This window comes from Homo sapiens, chromosome 7 (assembly GCF_000001405.40).
Source record: "Homo sapiens chromosome 7, GRCh38.p14 Primary Assembly".
Taxonomy (NCBI): Eukaryota; Metazoa; Chordata; class Mammalia; order Primates; family Hominidae; genus Homo; species Homo sapiens.
Genome location: NC_000007.14, coordinates 87221123 through 87239089, shown reverse-complemented (window position 1 = coordinate 87239089; position 17967 = coordinate 87221123).

The following is a 17967-nucleotide window of genomic DNA, read 5'->3' as shown; positions in this document are numbered from 1 at the left end:
CTGCTTTTTAGAGTTTCCAGTTTTTCTGCTCTGTTTTTTCCCCATCTTTGTGGTTTTATCTACTTTTGGTCTTTGATGATGGTGATGTACAGATGGGTTTTTGTTGTGGATGTCCTTTCTGTTTGTTAGTTTTCCTTCTAACAGACAGGACCCTCAGCTGCAGGTCTGTTGGAGTACCCGGCCGGCCGTGTGAGGTGTCAGTGTGCCCCTGCTGGGGGGTGCCTCCCAGTTAGGCTGCTCGGGGGTCAGGGGTCAGGGACCCACTTGAGGAGGCAGTCTGCCCGTTCTCAGATCTCCAGCTGCGTGCTGGGAGAACCACTGCTCTCTTCAAAGCTCAGATGGAAATGCAGAAATCACTCGTCTTCTGTGTCGCTCACATTAGGAGCTGTAGACCGGAGCTGTTCCTATTCGGCCATCTTGGCTCCTCCTCCGAGTTTGGCCTTTCAATCACTGGTGGTAAAGGGTCCTTCCAGATGGATAATTTAGCAAAAATTTTAAAACCCCTTAAAAATATACTTATCATTATACCTAGCAATTCTATTTTCACAAGTAGACTTAACAAAGTCTGCTTTCCAAAGATTTTGCTACAGAGATATTCATTGCATCAATATTTTTACTTACAATAGTGAAAAACTGGATACAACCTAAATAGTGATAATACCTAACATTTAATTGAGTATTTACCATATATTGATCTGAGCACTTTATATAAGTTAATTCATTCAAACCTCATAGACAACCCTATGAGGGAGGTACTATTGAGGCTATTACCATCCCCATTTGACAGATCAAGTAACCTGGTCACACACCCAGTAAATGGAAGAGTTCATTAGAGCCTACATTCTTAACCATTCATTCTATTCCCTCTCCAAACTCTCTAATCTAAATAGCCAATGATAGGAAAATTGTTAAAATTAGTAATGCTCAACTTGTGTGTGTGTGTGAGTGAGAGAGAGAAAGAGAGAATGTGGGTGTCAGATGGGAGACAGAAGTGTCATGAGAGTGTTTCCAAATTACCTAGAGCCTCTCTTACTGGTAGGAATGTGTTATACAAGGAGAGAGAACCACTGGGTTACCTAAATTATAGTAAATTATACAAATACTATGTAATTATTAAAATGTATGATATATAGCTATATTGAGTTGTATTCTAGAACAGTATCTTTCAAATTCTTTTGACATGACCTATATTAAAAAATAAACATTTTACATCTCAATCTTGGCCATCCTTTAAAGGCTGAATAGCTAGTTCCCTCTAATATAGCTGTGTTAGTTGTTTACAATGGGTGTCTATGCCTATGTTATTTGACCCACATTAGATTAGATTAGGCATAACATATGCCTATGTTATGTTATGCCTATGTTATGATATTTGAATATCACATATTTAGGTTGGTCCAAAAGCAACTGTGGTTTTTGACATTTTTTAAACTGCAATTGCTTTTGCACCAAATACATTTATATGCACGCACTCGCGCACACACACACACACACATACATCTAAAACAAAATTTCATGAAACAATACTCAATCTTTGTTTTTTGTTTTTTGTTTTGTTTTGAGACGGAGTCTCGCTCTGTTGCCCAGGCTGGAGTGCGGTGGCGTGATCTCGGCTCACTGCAAGCTCCGCCTCTGGGGTTCACGCCATTCTCCTGCCTCAGCCTCCCGAGTAGCAGGACTGCAGGCGCCCGCCACCACGCCCGGCTAATTTTTTTTTTTTTGTATTTTTAGTAAAGACGGGGTTTCACCGTGTTAGCCAAGATAGTCTCGATCTCTCGACTTCGTGATCGGCCCGCTTCGGCATCCCAAAGTGCTGGGATTACAGGCGTGAGCCACCGCGCCCGGCCAAAATAATACTCAATCTTAATAAATGAGATGCACTCTTATATCTTTCCATTTCATTATTACAATTCTGGACCAAATGTATTGTTGTCAACTGCTCGTTGATTTCATCATCCTAAGTTAACGTACCCATAGTTTGAAAACAATCCTGGAAGAAAATTATGGCTCTTGTAATACTGAAAATGTCCACGAGAGGGCACCACAATTCTAGCCAGACACATAATATACCAAGGGATCTCCACTGGGAAGGGCAGGAATGTTGACCCTTGCAGGGCACAGTCCAACCAGGGTAGCCAGTCTCTATCTTGACCAATCACCTATCAAAACGCCTGATGCAAAAAAACTTTTTTGATAAAGAGGCTGTCAGGGTCCATCAGAGTCTCTGTGTCATGAATCTGAAATCGAACATGCAGAAAGATTTTATGTGGTTGACAGAGTAGGCAAAAGGTAAAAGTCCTTGAGATAAGGAGAGGCTAGAATGGTAATAATGGGTCATTTATAAGCTAAAGGTTTCAATAAGTTGAGGTTATGGGAAAATAGAAGCTATGAATAAGCAAGAGATATAAGTGGGGGAAAGACACAGGACTGGAAAGCCTGTTGACAGGAAGAGATAGGCATTACTGTGTAATCACATTAATGGCAAAACCCTAGGGTCAGGCCCCAGACTCCTGCTGCCAGCAGCTTCAGTCTGTAAAGGACAGGCTGACTCCCTTTTTAATGCAACTGGTGATTTTATAATAAGTTCACTTTGATGCTCATTTACCATTCTGAAAACCCCAGGGCCCTTAAGAATTATGCAAAATCTACTTTACCTTTGCTCTATAAATGGAACAACAAAGCCAGAGTGACAGTAAATCTGTTTACAGCATCGTTTCCTGAATATTTTAAGCCCACTGTTGAGATCTACAGCTTAGAAAAAGAGACTCCTGTCCAAATATTAATGTTCATTGACAATGAACCTGGTCAAACAGACTTCTGGTGAGATATACAAGGAGATGAATGTTATTTTCATTAAAATACACCTCAATCCATGGGCTGCAGGATGGATGCTGCTAACACAACATCCATTCTGCAGCCCATGGATTAAGGGATATTTTTGACTTTCAAGTATTATTATTTAAGAAATACATTTTATAAGGCTACAGCTGCCATAAATAGTGATCCCTCTGGTGGATCTGGGCAAAGTCAATGAAAACCCTGCTGGAAAGGACTCATCATTTTATTCTATTTTATTATTTTTTCTCACACAGAAAGACAGCATGGATTTATCATTTTAAATGCCATTAAGAATATTTGTGATTCATTGGGAGGAGGTCCAAAAATCAACGTTAACAGGAGTTTGGAAGAAGTGGATTCCAACCTTCATGAATGATTTGGAGGGGTTCAAGACTTCAGTGGGGGAAATAACTGCGGATATGGTAGAAATAGCAAGAGAACTAGAACTAGAAGGGGATCGGAAGATGTGACTGAATTAATGCAATATCATGATCAATAAATGGGAGTTGCTTCTTATGGATGAGCAAAGTGGTTTCTTGAGATAGAATCTACTTCTGGTGAAGATGCTATAAACATTGTTGAAATGACAACAAAGGATTTAAAATATTACATAAACTTAGTTGATAAAGCATTGGCAGAGTTTGAGAGGTTTGACTCCAGTTTTGAAAGACATTCTACTATTGGTAAAATGCTATCAGATAGCATCACATGCTTCAGAGAAATCTTTTGTAAAAGGGAAAGTCAATTGATGTGGCAAACTTCATTATTGTTTTAGTTTTAGAAAGTGCTAAACTTTAGTGCCGCCCTAACCTTTAGTACCGCCACCCTGATCAGTCAGGAGCCATCAACATTGAGGCATAACAAGCAAAAAGATTACTGAAGATCACTACCGGCTCAAATGATAGCATATTTTAGCAATACAGTAATTTAAAATCAAGGTATGTGCATTGTATTTGTAGATATAATGCTATTGCACATTTAACAGACTACTGTATAGTGTAACATAACTTTTATATGCATTAGGAAACCAAAATGTTTGTGTGACTCATTTTACTGCAATATTCATGAACTGAATCTTCAGTATCTCTGAGGTATGCCTGCAATGCCATTCTACTAACCACATACAAATAGAATCATAGTGTCTTAGTTTTGTTTGTCAGAAGCACACCCTCAGATATGGACTATAATGCAAGTGGTTGATTTGGGAAATGGGCCACAAAAACCCAGTAGGGGAGCTGGGAACTGAGATAGGGGAGGAAAGGAGGCCAGCTTAGGGTTGCTATCAAAGAAGTTACCACTGTGGGCAACTATATCTTAATCACATGGAGGAGCTCTGGAACCAGAATATATACCTTAGAGTTATCCCATCCATGGGGTAAAGGAGCTGGGGTATTTACACATATTACCTGTGATTCCCTGGCACTTCTGGCCTTCCATGCATGCAGGCAGAGTGATTTCAGCAAAGAGAAGCCCCTGGGCAAGGAGTTGCAGTTACTGGCAGTTGGAGGGTGGATTGGCCTGCACTGAAATGGTAGTGTCCAATGGGATACAAGCAAGGCATTGCCAGTGTCTGCTACAAACTCCATGAGATTCTGCAACTTCCTTTTTTGGTTGTTGTTCACCATTACGGTTGTGTGATTTACCCTTGTTGGTATGTTGATATATATAACTGTGGTTTGCTTATTTTCATTGCTATATTCTATTGTATTAGTATGTTTCATCTATTTATTTGTTCTATCTGTTTATGGGCATTTGGGCTGTTTCCACCTTTTTGTTGTTACAAACAATGTTCCCTTGCAGCTTCTTGCACAAGTCTCTTGGTATATTTGTGCGAAAGTTTCTTCTATACACCTAGGTTTAGAATTGTTGGAGGAAGAGATAATGCATTTTAAACTTAACTATATGATGATTAAAGTAGTGTTCCAGTTACACCCACACCACCAGCAAAGTATGAGATTTTCTAATATTTTATATCTTTGCCAAAACATGCTGTTGTTAGGCTTTTAATTTTCGCTAGTTTGGTGGGTGTAAAAACAATAAATAAAGAAAGTTTTGGCCTGGTATAGCGGCTCATGCCTGTAATCCCAGCACTTTGGGAGGACAAGACAAGTAGATCGCTTGAGCCCAGAAGTTTGAGACCAGCCTGGGCAACATGGCAAAACCCTGTTTCTAAAAAAAAAAGAAAAAATTAGCTAGGCATGGTGGCACATGCCTGTAATCCCAGCTAATTGAGAGGCTGAGGTGGGAGTATCAGCTGAGCCTGGAAGGTCGAGGCCTGTTGTGATCTCATCACTGCACTGCAGCCTGGGCAACAGAGTGAGACCCTGCCTCAAAAAAAAAAAAAAAAAAAAACAACAAAGTTCTTCATCTTTTGGGAATATACATATATTTTAAATTTAAAATGGGGTCCAGTTCAATATTTGTTTCTGCCACTGCAACTTAAATTTTCTAAGAGTAAAGATTGGATCATAATTCTTGGAGTTGTAACTATAAATGAATGAAATTGTCTTGCTCATGTAACTTGCCAACAGGTTCTAAGGTGAATACAAAAGAAGACTTTCAAGAGGGTGAGTGAGTGAATGAATGTAGCAATTTGATTTAGGTGTATAGTCTAAGGATGACATTGAAGTATGACACTAATGTTCTGGGGTCTATTAAAAATTCAGTGTTCTTATTTTATAGGTAGGTTTTATACTATACAGATGATAGGTTTCCTATTCTGTATGCAATCGTTCTCTTAGAACACTTTTCACTTTTGAACAAGTGGTTTTTCTAGGGGCTGTGAACAGGAGAAAACTTTGTCAACATTAACAGATTCTTGAAACATTTTTAATGAAGGGAAAAGCAGTTCCCAGTAGAACAATTGTAGTTTCCTAGGGCTGCTGAAACAAATTACCACAAACTAGTGGCTTCAAACAACAGACATTTATTTATTCTCTCACAGTTCTGCAGGTCAGAAGTCTGAAATCAAAGTGTAGTCATGGTTGTTTTCTTCAGGAAGTTCTGAGGGATAATCCTTTCCATGCTCCAATCTCAACCCCATTTTCACATGGCCTTCTCTGTGTGTCTCTATATGGTCACCTACTCTTAAAAGGGCACTAATCATTGGACTTAGGGACCACCCCAATCCAAGATGATTTCCTCTCGAGATCGTTAACTACACCTGCAAAGAGCCTTCTCTCCAAATACGTTCACTGTCTTACTCAGGTCAGGCTGGTATAACAAATAACATAAATCGGGTGGCTTAAACAATGAACATTTATTCCTCACAGTTCTGGGAGCTGGAAGTCCAAGATCAGGGTACCAGTATGGTTGGGTTCTGGTGAGGGACTTATTCCTGGCTTGCAGATTGCTGCCTCTGGCTCTATCCTCATGTGGGAGAGAGACCGAGATAATATCTTTCATGTATTTTCTTATAAGGGTACTAATCCCATTCAAGAAGGTTCTACCCTCATGATCTAATTACCTCCTAAAGGCCCCACTTTCAAATACCATCACATTGGGGATAGGGCTTCAACTTATAAATTTGGGAAGGACATAAACATTCAATCCAGAGCAGTTGACAAAGATTCTCTGCTTGGCCAAACTTTAGTCAGGCTCCTGACACTTCTCCTAGGCTCATCTGTGCACTTCCTTGTAAAATCCAGTTGTAGAAGAGAACTCTGCTAGGTCAGGATAGCTAAAAGCCCCTACATATCTGATCATGCTCTGTAGCTGATCGGGTTCCTCATCCTCCATCATTCCCCAGGTGATGTCTGATCACCCTGGTGTGTCTTCAGCAAGGACACCGGTTTAACCAGAATGCCCATCTGATATTTCCTTTTAGTAATTTTCCATGCACTGAGTCCCACCTTACTCCTTGGCTATAAATTCCCACTTGCCTATTCTGTATTCAGAGTTGAGCCAAATCTCTCTCTGCTGCTGCAAGACCCCATTGTAGCAGTCCCTATACCAATCATGATGTTTCTGGATAAAGTTTTCCATGCTGTGCTTTAACAAGTGTCACTGATTTTTTTTTTAACACAATTACAGCCACAGGTTTTAGGTGGACATATCTTTTGGGAGGCCACAATTCAACCCATTACAGGAGGCAACAGAAGACATGTAGGCAGGAGAAGTTAATTACATTAGATATTCAGAGTTTCTGGTTATCTCTTTCTTTAGAGTCTGAGGTGGAAAAACACCATGTTGGGTGGTAGAGATGAAATTTCTTCCTTTGTATATTCTGAGACTTAATACCTTTTCCCTAATCTATTTATTTTCCTAATCTATTTCAGTAACAGATGTCTTCAGTGCAGGGATTGTCAAGGAACTCAGCCAAGGGATAGTGGTGCCAATGTTTTCACTGGGGAGAATGCAAATGACTGTCTAAGAAGGAAAAATGTGTACTGTTGGAAGGGCAGATTGCAAGACAATTTCTTTGTCCTGGTTGCTATTTATTTGCTTTTTCCTTCTCAATCTTGATGTTTTTCTTTAGGAAAAAATAAAGCCTCTCAAAACTTCTTCCTTGGAGAGAGAAACAAATTAGACAAACTTATTCTGTGATGTTCTGTTTATTTTATCTAAAATGTCAGAAGTCATGATGACAAAATGTTTTCATTCTTGTTTTTGTTTGATTAATTTTTCTGCATTATTTATTTGTTTATTTTTAAAGAAAATGTCACAGGATCCTTGAGTTGTCACTTTGCCAGCTGGAAACCTCTGTGGCCAGCGGCGCCTTCTGCCTGAGTATTGCTGGCACTGCTGGGCTTGTTCTGCCCCCTTGGCCTGGCAGGCTGCTCTTGGCTGGCACTACTGGCCCACATCCCACAACTGCCAAAGGCGAGCCAGGTGCGGAGCAGCGAGTGGTGTGTGGGTAAGCAAGCATGGGGTCTGGCCACCATGCACAGCCAGACACGCTGGCTGCTGCAGTTGGCTGGCGGCTCCATGAGAGGTTGTGGCTGGACCAGATGTACAATATACAGCTTCCACTGTGGGCACCTGTGTCTGGACAAGGGGAATGCTGTGGCACCCAGAAGCTTGGAGACACTAGGAACTGGAGAGTCCCAAAGAGGGTGTCACAGCCCTGGCTCAGGGAGCACCCTAGGTCTGGGGTTCCCGAAGGGCCACAGCTCTTCTCCTTCTCATCCTAGGCAACATGGTGAGTGGGGATGGGGGCATATTTCAGCCCTGTTTGTGTTACAGCGCTTTCAGTCCCGCCATTCAGTCCCTCTCGAGTTCTTGTCCCATGTACAGGAAGAATGAGGTGCACAGACAATTGGAGGGTGAGCAAGGCAGAGAGGAGCTTCTTGAGCAACAGAACAGCTCTCAGGAGACCCGAAGTGGGTAGCAGCTCCTTTCTGCAGGCAGGTTGTCTGGACATCTGTCCAGCTCTCAGTGGAGAGAAGACCCAGAGTGGCTAGCTCCTTTCTGCTGGCAGGTTGTCCTGACATCTGCGTAGCCCTCAGCAGAGAGGAGATCTAGACTGGGTAGCTCCTATCCACAGGCAGGTCATCCTGATGTCTGTTCAGCTCTCAGCAGAGAGGTGATCCACAGTGGGTAGCTCCATTCCTCTGGCAGGTCACCCCAAGGTGTGTCCAGCTCTCACTCCAGTTGGCTGACTCCACTGGAACTGACAGCCCAGCCCTCATGCTTCAGGCCATCCTTGACTTGAAGGTGGGGCTTCACTGGGGACCACCCCTTTCCACACAGGAGCCTGTCTGCCTCCTGCCTTCATCAATCATGTTGTCCACAGCACCCAGTCTGTTTGTGAGGAGGGCAGCCTCCAGGCCTCTTCCGAGCTCCCCTCAGTGGCCCCCATCAGCCTCCCTCCCATGCTGGTAGGCACCCAAAGTCTAGAGGGGGCCAAGGTGGCAGGGGGCTGGCATGTTAGCACCACCCTGAGTGCACACACACCTGGTTGGGTCATGACAGTGCCTGGGCTGGGCCTCAACTTTGCTCCAAAATCAGAGAGGGTGCCAGGAGGAGGGCGAGGCCAGGCAGCAGGAGCAGGCACTTCCCAGCCTGTGGGGGAAGGAGTCTTCCTTGGTCCCCAAGAGTTCAGAGATGCCCAGGTCCACAGCTGCAGCTGGGCAGCTGCAGCTGCACCCAGGAGGGCAGGGCTCCTGCCCCACCAATTCAGAAAGGGGCTGGGCTCCCACTAGTTACCTGCAGACTGATAACCTCCCCTGCTGCAGTAGACGTCTTTGCAGTGGGTGCACCAGATTGGCTGCCTTTGCCATCAACAAGGTCTTACTCTGTTACCCAGGCTAGAATGAAGTGGTGTGATCATAGCTCACTTGAACTCATGGGTTCAAGTGATTCTCCCACCTTAGCCTCCCAAGTAGCCAAGGCTTTAGGTGCGCATCACCATGCCTAGTTAATGGGGTCTCCCTATGTTGCCCAGGTGGTCTCAAGCACTTGGGCTCAAGGTGGGGTCTCCCTATGTTGTCCAGGCTGGTCTCAAACACTTGGGCTCAAGTGATCCTCCTGCCTTGGCCTTCCAAAGCACTGGGATTATAGGGATGCACCACCACACCCTGCCCATATTTGTACACTTGAAAGGTTAAATTGATATATTGCCCATTATTAGAAAAAGATGTCATAGATATGTTAAGCAATATTATTAACTTCTTCAGATATTTATTTTTCACTGTGAAGCTGGATGTTTAAGCAATAAGATTGTATTTCTGTCTAGTCTTCCTAAAAAAATTAGAGTGGCATTATTCTAAGAAAAGAAGTGTTACTACCCCCACTGTTATGTCTATTTAGAGAACAACTTAAATAGTATGGGAAAGTCACCTACATCAAGGCTGGCAGGTTTAAGCTTGAGTGTGTACAGTGTTTGTGTCGTGCTGTGTTTAAAATTATCACAGAGAAAATACCTTTGTGAAAAAGACTTTAAACCACCACTCCGTCTAAAACATAAAGGCCAATAATATCATTACATGAAAAACAGCTATAACTGTCCTGCATCTGTGAACTACATTTACATTTATTTTGTTTTTTCTTTCTCCCCTTTAATGTTAGGCCTCTCTCTTGTGGTGAAACAGTCACATGATGTCAGTCTCAGAGAGGTTTGAAAAACTATTCCATTGTGCCCATTTTACAATGAAGAAATGGAAACTCCTAAGGCTAAATGAATAACTGAAAAAAAAAAAAACAGCCAGGGTATGGTACACACATTTCCTAAAGGTATGCCTGAATTTTAAATAATTTACTCAAAATTATTATCAGTAATATTCTAGATTTTGAATGAAATAATGAAATAACAACTGGTATTAGTTCCATTACTTTTTCCTAAGTTTTCTTAAGAAATATAGTTCAAAACCTGAAAAATTATTTACCTGTCCTTAAATATTTTCAAATTCCTGACTCATGAAATTAATTAGTTAAAAATAATACACATGTGAAAAATCCAAAAGTTATTGTAGGAACTTTAGGAAATTGTTTATCTGCTCAAGAATCTATTTGCTCATATTTGAGAGGATTGACTTAATGAATGTATTTCTCTAATTTCTCTGGGCAAATTTTACACTTTCAAATTGAGAACAGTGTTTCAGCAATGTATGCTGCTAGACCAGTGCTGCAGATTTTATCTGCTTCAGTAGCACTGCCAAGTCAATTATTAAAACATCTAAAAATTATCTCTTATCCATTGTGGCTTATTCCAGTGAATAGCAGTTTAGAGTAAAAATCTATTTCACGGCTGGGCACAGTGGCTCAAGCCTGTAATCCCAGCTCTTAGGGAGGCAGAGGCAGGAGGATAGCTTGAGCCCAGAAGTTCAAGACCTGCCTGGGCAATATAGTGAGACCCCGTTCTCCACAAAAAGAAAAAAAAAAGACAAAAAAAAAACTATTTCACCTATTACATCTCATTTAATTCCTACAACACCTCTATGAGAGAGGAAATTTTTGTTTATTAGTGGACATAAGAGACAGCCTCTGAGATTTGCTCAAGGACACAGGTCTCACTACATAGCAGCCTTATTTAAAAATAGAGAACTCTCAATAATATCTATAGTTTAGATCAAGCTTGTCCAACCCGTGGCCCATGGGCCACATGCAGTCCAAGATGGCTTTGAATGTGGCCCAGTGCAAATTCATAAACTTTCTTAAAACATTATTAGATTTTCTGGTGATTTTTTTTTTAGCTCATCAGGTATCATCAATGTTAGTGTATTTTATGTGTGGCCAAAGATAATTCTTCTTTTTCCAATATGGCCTATGGAAGCCAAAAGATTGGACACCCCTAGTTAGATAATAGTATTGTACCAATGCTATTTTTTTTTAGTTTTGTTAAATGTACCATGGTTTTATATTGATAAGATGTTAGGGAAGCTGGGTGAAGGGTATACCCTGTACTATCTCTCTCTTCAACTTTTACGTAAATCTAGAAATACTTCCTTCCTTTTCTTTTCTTGTCTTTTCTTTCTTTCTCTTTTTTCTTTCTTTCTCTCTCCTCCCTCCCTCTTCTTTCTTTCTCCTTCTTTGCTTCCTTCCTTCCTTCTTTTGACAAGTTGCTGCTCTGTCACCCAGGCTGAGTGCAGAGTGTGATCACAGCACACCGCAACCTTGAATTCCTGGTCTCAAGCCATCCTCCCACCTCAGCCTCCCTGGTACAGTGACTACAAGCATGTGCCATCAAGCCTGCCCTCGCTATGTTGCCAGGGCTGGTCTTGAACTCCTGGCCTCAAGCAATCCTCCCGCCTCAGCCTCCCAAAGTGCTGGGATTACAGGCATGAGCCACCATGCCTGGTGCAAAAGTACAAAAATGTAAAAATAGATCTTCTAATTATTTCACAGTGTATTAGCATTTTATTTTATTATGTTATTTTACAGGGTCCAACCCAAGTTGGAGTGTAGTGGTGCAATCACGGCTCACTGCAGCCTTGACATCCCAGGCTCAAGTGATCCACTTTGGGCTCAAGTGATCCTCCCACCTCAGCCTACTGAATAGCTGGGACTACATTCACCTGCCACCATGCCCAGCTAATGTATTAGCATTTTAGATCAGTCAGAGTAGAATATAATTTTTCCTTTTACAGATGAGGAAATTGGTACTGACACTGACTTTCCCCAGCTCAGACCAGGCTCGAGTCTCCCAGTTGTGGAGGTGGTTGGTCCATAGCACCTGCCTGATATGCAAGGGGTATGTAGAAATCTCATCCTTCTATTCAAAAAGTTTTATCAGTAGGCCCACAGATCCTACCTACACTTAGGAGCACATACAGATTGATGTGTGCAATTGGTTGCAATGCCTAAGTTCCTTATATCTGTAAATCAATTTTCCCATTACATGACTATTCAGACTATGTGCTCCCCTAGCAGTTACTCCCATCTGGCTCTTGTGCTGCTGAAAGACATTTTCTCCCTTAATCTCCTTCTGTTACTTTCCTTTGGAACTGCAGCCTTCCTCCCATCTTGATTTGGTTTTTCCCTTTGCCTTTTTTCATGAAGTCCGCTGAGTGAGGCTGTGAGGGTCACACTCAAAGCAGAAGTTTGAAGATGTGTGTTTCTCCCCACTTCCTGCTCTTTAAGAGACATCTCAGTTCAGCAAGACTCAGGCACAGCTTACCTGGTCTACTCTCTTCTCATTCGTGAACACTGGGAAGAGAGAGAAAGCACAAGTCTTCCAACTTCTGCTTTGAGAGAAGCACACATCTTCCAACTTCTGCTTACCTGATCTACTCTCCTCTCATTCGTGAGTGAAAGCACACATCTTCTAACTTCTCCACTGAGTGTGACCCTCCCTACATCCAGCTATTTGACATAATTCTATACACCAGCAAGGATTGCATGTAGATAATTACATTGCTCCTATTATAACCCTGACAGGAATTGGATTCTGATTTTTTCCTTTAATTCAGTTCTCACCTTCCTGGACTGACTTTGAACATTGCTTCCTCCCTCACCTTCTCCTGGCTTTACTTTCAGCTTCTGAATACTTTTGCACTTGGCTACTGAAAAAAATCTTATGATGCCACTCTTGCTACTGAGCATATTTTAAGGGGGGAAAAGATAAAGGGGCACAAATGCATCATTGCCAGTTTTGTTGTCTTCTCACAAAGGTACAGAACTTCAAAAGAGAGAAAGACTAGTAAAAAAAATACCCATTTTTGTATTTTTCATGCTCCCTTTCAGTTTTGTTTCATATGTAAAAGAAAAAACACAATATTGTTTTCTACTCACTCTCATCTCAACTTTTGGCACTAACTAAAGAGGAAAAACAATTTTTCTCTATTCAGTACTTTACTTCTGACACTACCTGGGGTTAGCACACACCCCGCAGGTTAAGGGCTCAGTCTCAAAAGACTGCCCCCACTTCAGGCACCAGTTCCAAGTACTGCATCCCCACTGACTCACCCTTCTGCCTGCCTTAGCTACAAATCAGGGATTCCTATGGTCCCTTCCTCAAGTTTGATGATTTGCTATGATGACTCATAGAACTCAGGGAAACACTTACATTTACTAGTTTATTATTAAGGATATTATAAAAGATAGAGGTGAACAGCCAGATGAAGAAGTACATAGGGCAAAGTCTGAAAGGGTCTTGAGTACAGGAGCTTCTGTCCCTGTGGGACTGGGGTGTGCTACCCACTGGTATGTGGATGTGTTCACTAACCCAGAAACTCTCTGAACTCCATCTTTTAGGGATTTTTTTTATGGAGGTTTCATCACATAGGCATGGTCAATTTTTAATTCAATCTCTAGCCCCTCTTTCTCCCTGGAAGATCTGGGAATGGGGCAATGGGGCTGAAAGTTCCAAGCTTCGAATCATGGCTTTCTGGTGACCAGTCCCCATCCTCAAGCCGTTTAGGGACTCACCAAGAGTTGCCTCATTAAAACAAAAGATGCTTCCATCACCCAGGACATTCTAAGGAATTTTGGAGCTCTGTGCTATGATCTGGGAGTGGAGATCAAATACATATTTCTTGTTATGTCACAATATGCATAGGTATCTTACACAATTATACTATATAAATTCTACTTTATATTTACTTTTTCCCTTTAACATTAAATTATATGCATTTTTCCATTTTGCTGCAATTGTTGTAATGTTCACTTTAGTAGATGCATAATATGCATAATTTACAGTGTTAACTGTGTCAGGTGTTTACAATACCTTATTTGATTTAATTCTCACAAAAACCTATAGGACAAGTATTGTTTTATTTATTTCACAAAAGTAAAAACTGAGGCTGATAGGGGTTAAGTAACTTGCTCAAATGTATGCATCTAGTGAGGGTTAAGCCAGGATTCAAACTAATGTCTGTTGACTCAAAAGTCCATGTTAATACTTGTCAGATAATAGAGTGAGGATCCACAGAAGAACTTCAGGCTCATCCAGGGGTTCAATACCCCAGAGATTCTGGTAGCTGCACACCAGAGCCACCTAGAAAATAAAAAAAATACTTATGCTGGAGTCTCATCTCCAGAAACTCTGATTTCATTCGTCTGGGTATAGTCTGAGACTATTATATAACTCCTCAAGTATTTTAATGTCCAACCAGAATTCAGAACCACTTCTTTCCACTGTGACAGCTTTACTGTAGAGACAATAAAACAGAGAAACACAGTTAATTTGCATCTAAAATGAATAGAGTTATTTAAGTTAATTGTAAAAGTGGCCTTATAAATTACACGCCTCCTGCTAAATTGTGGATGTCTATTCATATACATTTGGGAAGTTAGCATAGAGGTGTATTAATGGTCGCCATGGATGTAGATAACTAACCCTTGCAAAGCACGTCATGAGAAGAGAAAAAGGCCAAGAACAAGGCCCTGGGAGATAATATTTAAGAGATGTGGAGAGGAAGAGCAGAAGAGCTACAGTGAAGGCTATTTCCAGGAATTTTCAGTGCTAAATGCTGCAGAAAGGCCATATGGGAGAAGGCCTGAAAAATATCCATTAGATTCAGCTATAAGTCTTCACTGGAACTTTCATGGGAGAATACTCATGGACTAGTACATGTAAACCAGACTTTCAGTGAGTTGAGGCAAATGTGGGAGGTAAGGAAGTGGATACAATCTGTATGGACTTTTCTACAGAAATTTTGACTTTAGAAATGTTATCAGTATGTTCTCAGCTATAAGCATGAGAATATCCAAATTAAAAGTGACTTATACAATAGAGATCTCCACTCAAAATACACACACACACACACACACACCACACATAAGAAGAAGCCAGAGGTGGGTGGTTCACAGGTTTAGACTCTGGTTGGCTTCTTTGGGATACTTTTGGTCACCCTTAATAGTCATAAGATGTTGGAAACTTCTCCAAATACCATGTCCTCAACAAAAAATGTCTAAGAAGGTAACTCTCCTCATAGGCCTCTCTCTTACCAGGGAGGAAACCTTCTTGAAAGCCTCCAGTGGACTTGCCCTAATGACTCATTAGCCTAAACACTCATATCCCTTCCCACAGCTGCAAGGGAGTCTCAGAAAGTGACTATATGGTGTATTTTTCCTTTACATTCGCAGGTAGGCTTTGCTTTTAGGGAAGAGGGAGGAGAAGGATGGCTGTATAGCCAATTAGGAGTTCCACAAAGGGTGTGATGAGAGTGTGGTAGCCAGAGAGAGACATGGGCTCAATGGTGGTTTGTTTTTTTTTTTTTTTTTTTTTTTTTGCTTGTTTTAACATGGTTAGAACTGATCATGTTTAAATGTCTTTGAAAGAAAAAATATAATCAGAATAGTGAGACCTCTGTGATCATGGGATGCAATGGGACATAAAATATGAGAGATGGGCAAGAATCTCTTCCATCCTAATTGGAAAGGAGGAGAAATGGAACAGGTTGGATATAGGTAAATGTGCAGTTTTGTTGGGGAGTTGAGGAAATTCCCATCTGATAGCTTCTTTTTCTTCCCTGTGAAGTAGGCAGCTGAGTTATCTGCTGAGAGTAAGGGAGGAGCAGAGAGAGGCCAGGAGACTGAATAAAATAGGCAACATAAGGAGAGTTGCCCAGGCAACGCGGGATTTCCAGATGATTTTAAGGGTACAGTTGAGATTGGCTGCTTTCAATTTAAGATTACTGCAATCAGGGACATTTATGATTTCTTTCCCCCTTCAGCTGCACTAGACACCTAGTAAGTTACACGTGTTAAGAACACAGAAGGATTAATATCTCAGGGGACTTTCTGCCCAGGGGTGATAAAATAAATGAGGCAAAAGAATTGAAGATATTATCAAAAGAGCAATCAGAGTGATAAAACACGGAATCTAAATTAGAAGAAAGTGAAAATAGGGGAGTAGATCTACCAGGAGAAAGTCAAGGGACCAAAGGATCAGAGACACTAAGGTGGCCAAATAAATGATATATTGACCGTGAGTGAGAGAACTGGAAGATAAAGCTCACCAAATGGTCTGGATTTATTTCAGGCTTGGTACAGTTCTAAATGTTGACAAAGTCCAGAATGTGAAACGGGAATGAGTGGCTGAAGCAGAATGAAGAGAAATAATTGATAAGTCATGGTATTGGGAGAGTAAACTCTACAGCCTTGGTCCAATTTGTAAATATAAAGGTGTATGAAATAAGGACTTTCCAAGTTTAAATGTGCATATGAATCTCCCGGGTATTTATTAAAAAGTAGATTGCCATTCAGTAGGTTTGGGGTGAGGCTTGAAATTCTGCATTCCTAACAAGGGGATGACCATGTTGCTGGTCTGGAGATCCACACTTTGAGCACAAGGCACTGGAAAATCTTACCATTGACTTCCACATATATTGTCTTCTTTTAAATAATCTTCTATCCCACTTGGCTAAAGGAGGCAGACCTTAGAAGCTAGGTGCCACTTTGTCCCTCCTATTGGCTGGGGGTGAAGAGCTTGATGCAGCTATAAATCCGTTCATAATCCGGACTGAGACAATAAAAACCCCTTGTGAGAAACCGAACTGAGAAATAGAGACTGGGCCTGCCAAGCAGTGTTGGACACTGGAGCTGTAAGGTCCATTTTCCTTGAGTTTAGCACCAAGACAAACTAAAGCCATATGCAAGTTGAAGTTTTGGGAAAGTAGTGATCATGAGGAAGCAGAGGAAGCTGGTTTTTAGGAAAACAAATGGAGCAGAGGCATAGAAAATTGATGAGAAGGGAATAAGCAGCTCTCGAGTGCTAAGGTCATGATACCTTACTCAACCATCCACCTCCAACATAGCCTCCACGGATATCTGGCCTCTCTGGACTGGCATTTTGCTTCTCCTCCTCATCTTGGCTAACTCACACTCTCCTTTTGGGTCCTGATTTAGAAGCCTTCCTCGAGAAAACTTTTCCTGCCACCTGAAGCTAGTGGGTTTCCTCCCATGTATCTCCATAGCATTCCATTGTGTCCAGTTCACAGCACTTGTCACCATTTATGACAGCCACCATTTGGATACTTACTATTTGTTGGTGTCTTATATATTCTTTATTACTTTTAAAAAAACAGTTAAACGTATATACTATAGTTCCACTTATTATTATGATCTTCACTTTTTACATATGAAGGAGATCAAGAGAGGTTAGATAACTTGTCTAAGATCACATAGCTTGTCAATGGTGGCATCAGGGTTTGAAGGCAGAAACGATCAACCTCAAAGCTTGTGCTCTTAGCCACCGTATCTCTTTTCTCTAGATTCTAATTATGCATCTCTGTTTTCCACTCTAGCTTCAAGACTATGACTATGCCTGTGTCTTCACCACTATATTACCATGTCTGGTAGTTGTCTGGTACATAGCAGATTCTCAAAAGTATTTTGTTGAATGTGGCTGAATGTGAGTGAATAAAGTTATTTGTACCGCCATTCAATCTTCTAAGATAACTGGGTGCAGGATTGCGTAGCATTGCTGTTTTATCAGAAAGTCCTGAGCAAACAAACATGATTTGTAAAATATATAACTTGTAGGTCAGATATGCACCGTACTAATCCTGCTCAGTGTTGCAAATTCCAGATCTATGTATCTACATGGTTTGTAGTCCATCCCGTGTCCTAAACTGTTGAGTGGACGCCGGGAATCATGGCTTGGATTCTAAATGTTGTGTGGGTACAACGTTCCAACCCAGATCCTCCCTGCACACAAACGTTTTCAGAGCTCTCTTCAGTCTCGGCGCTATAGTGCCCTGAGAATCCAGCGTGGCTGTATATTTATCCATGATTCGAAATGCAGAG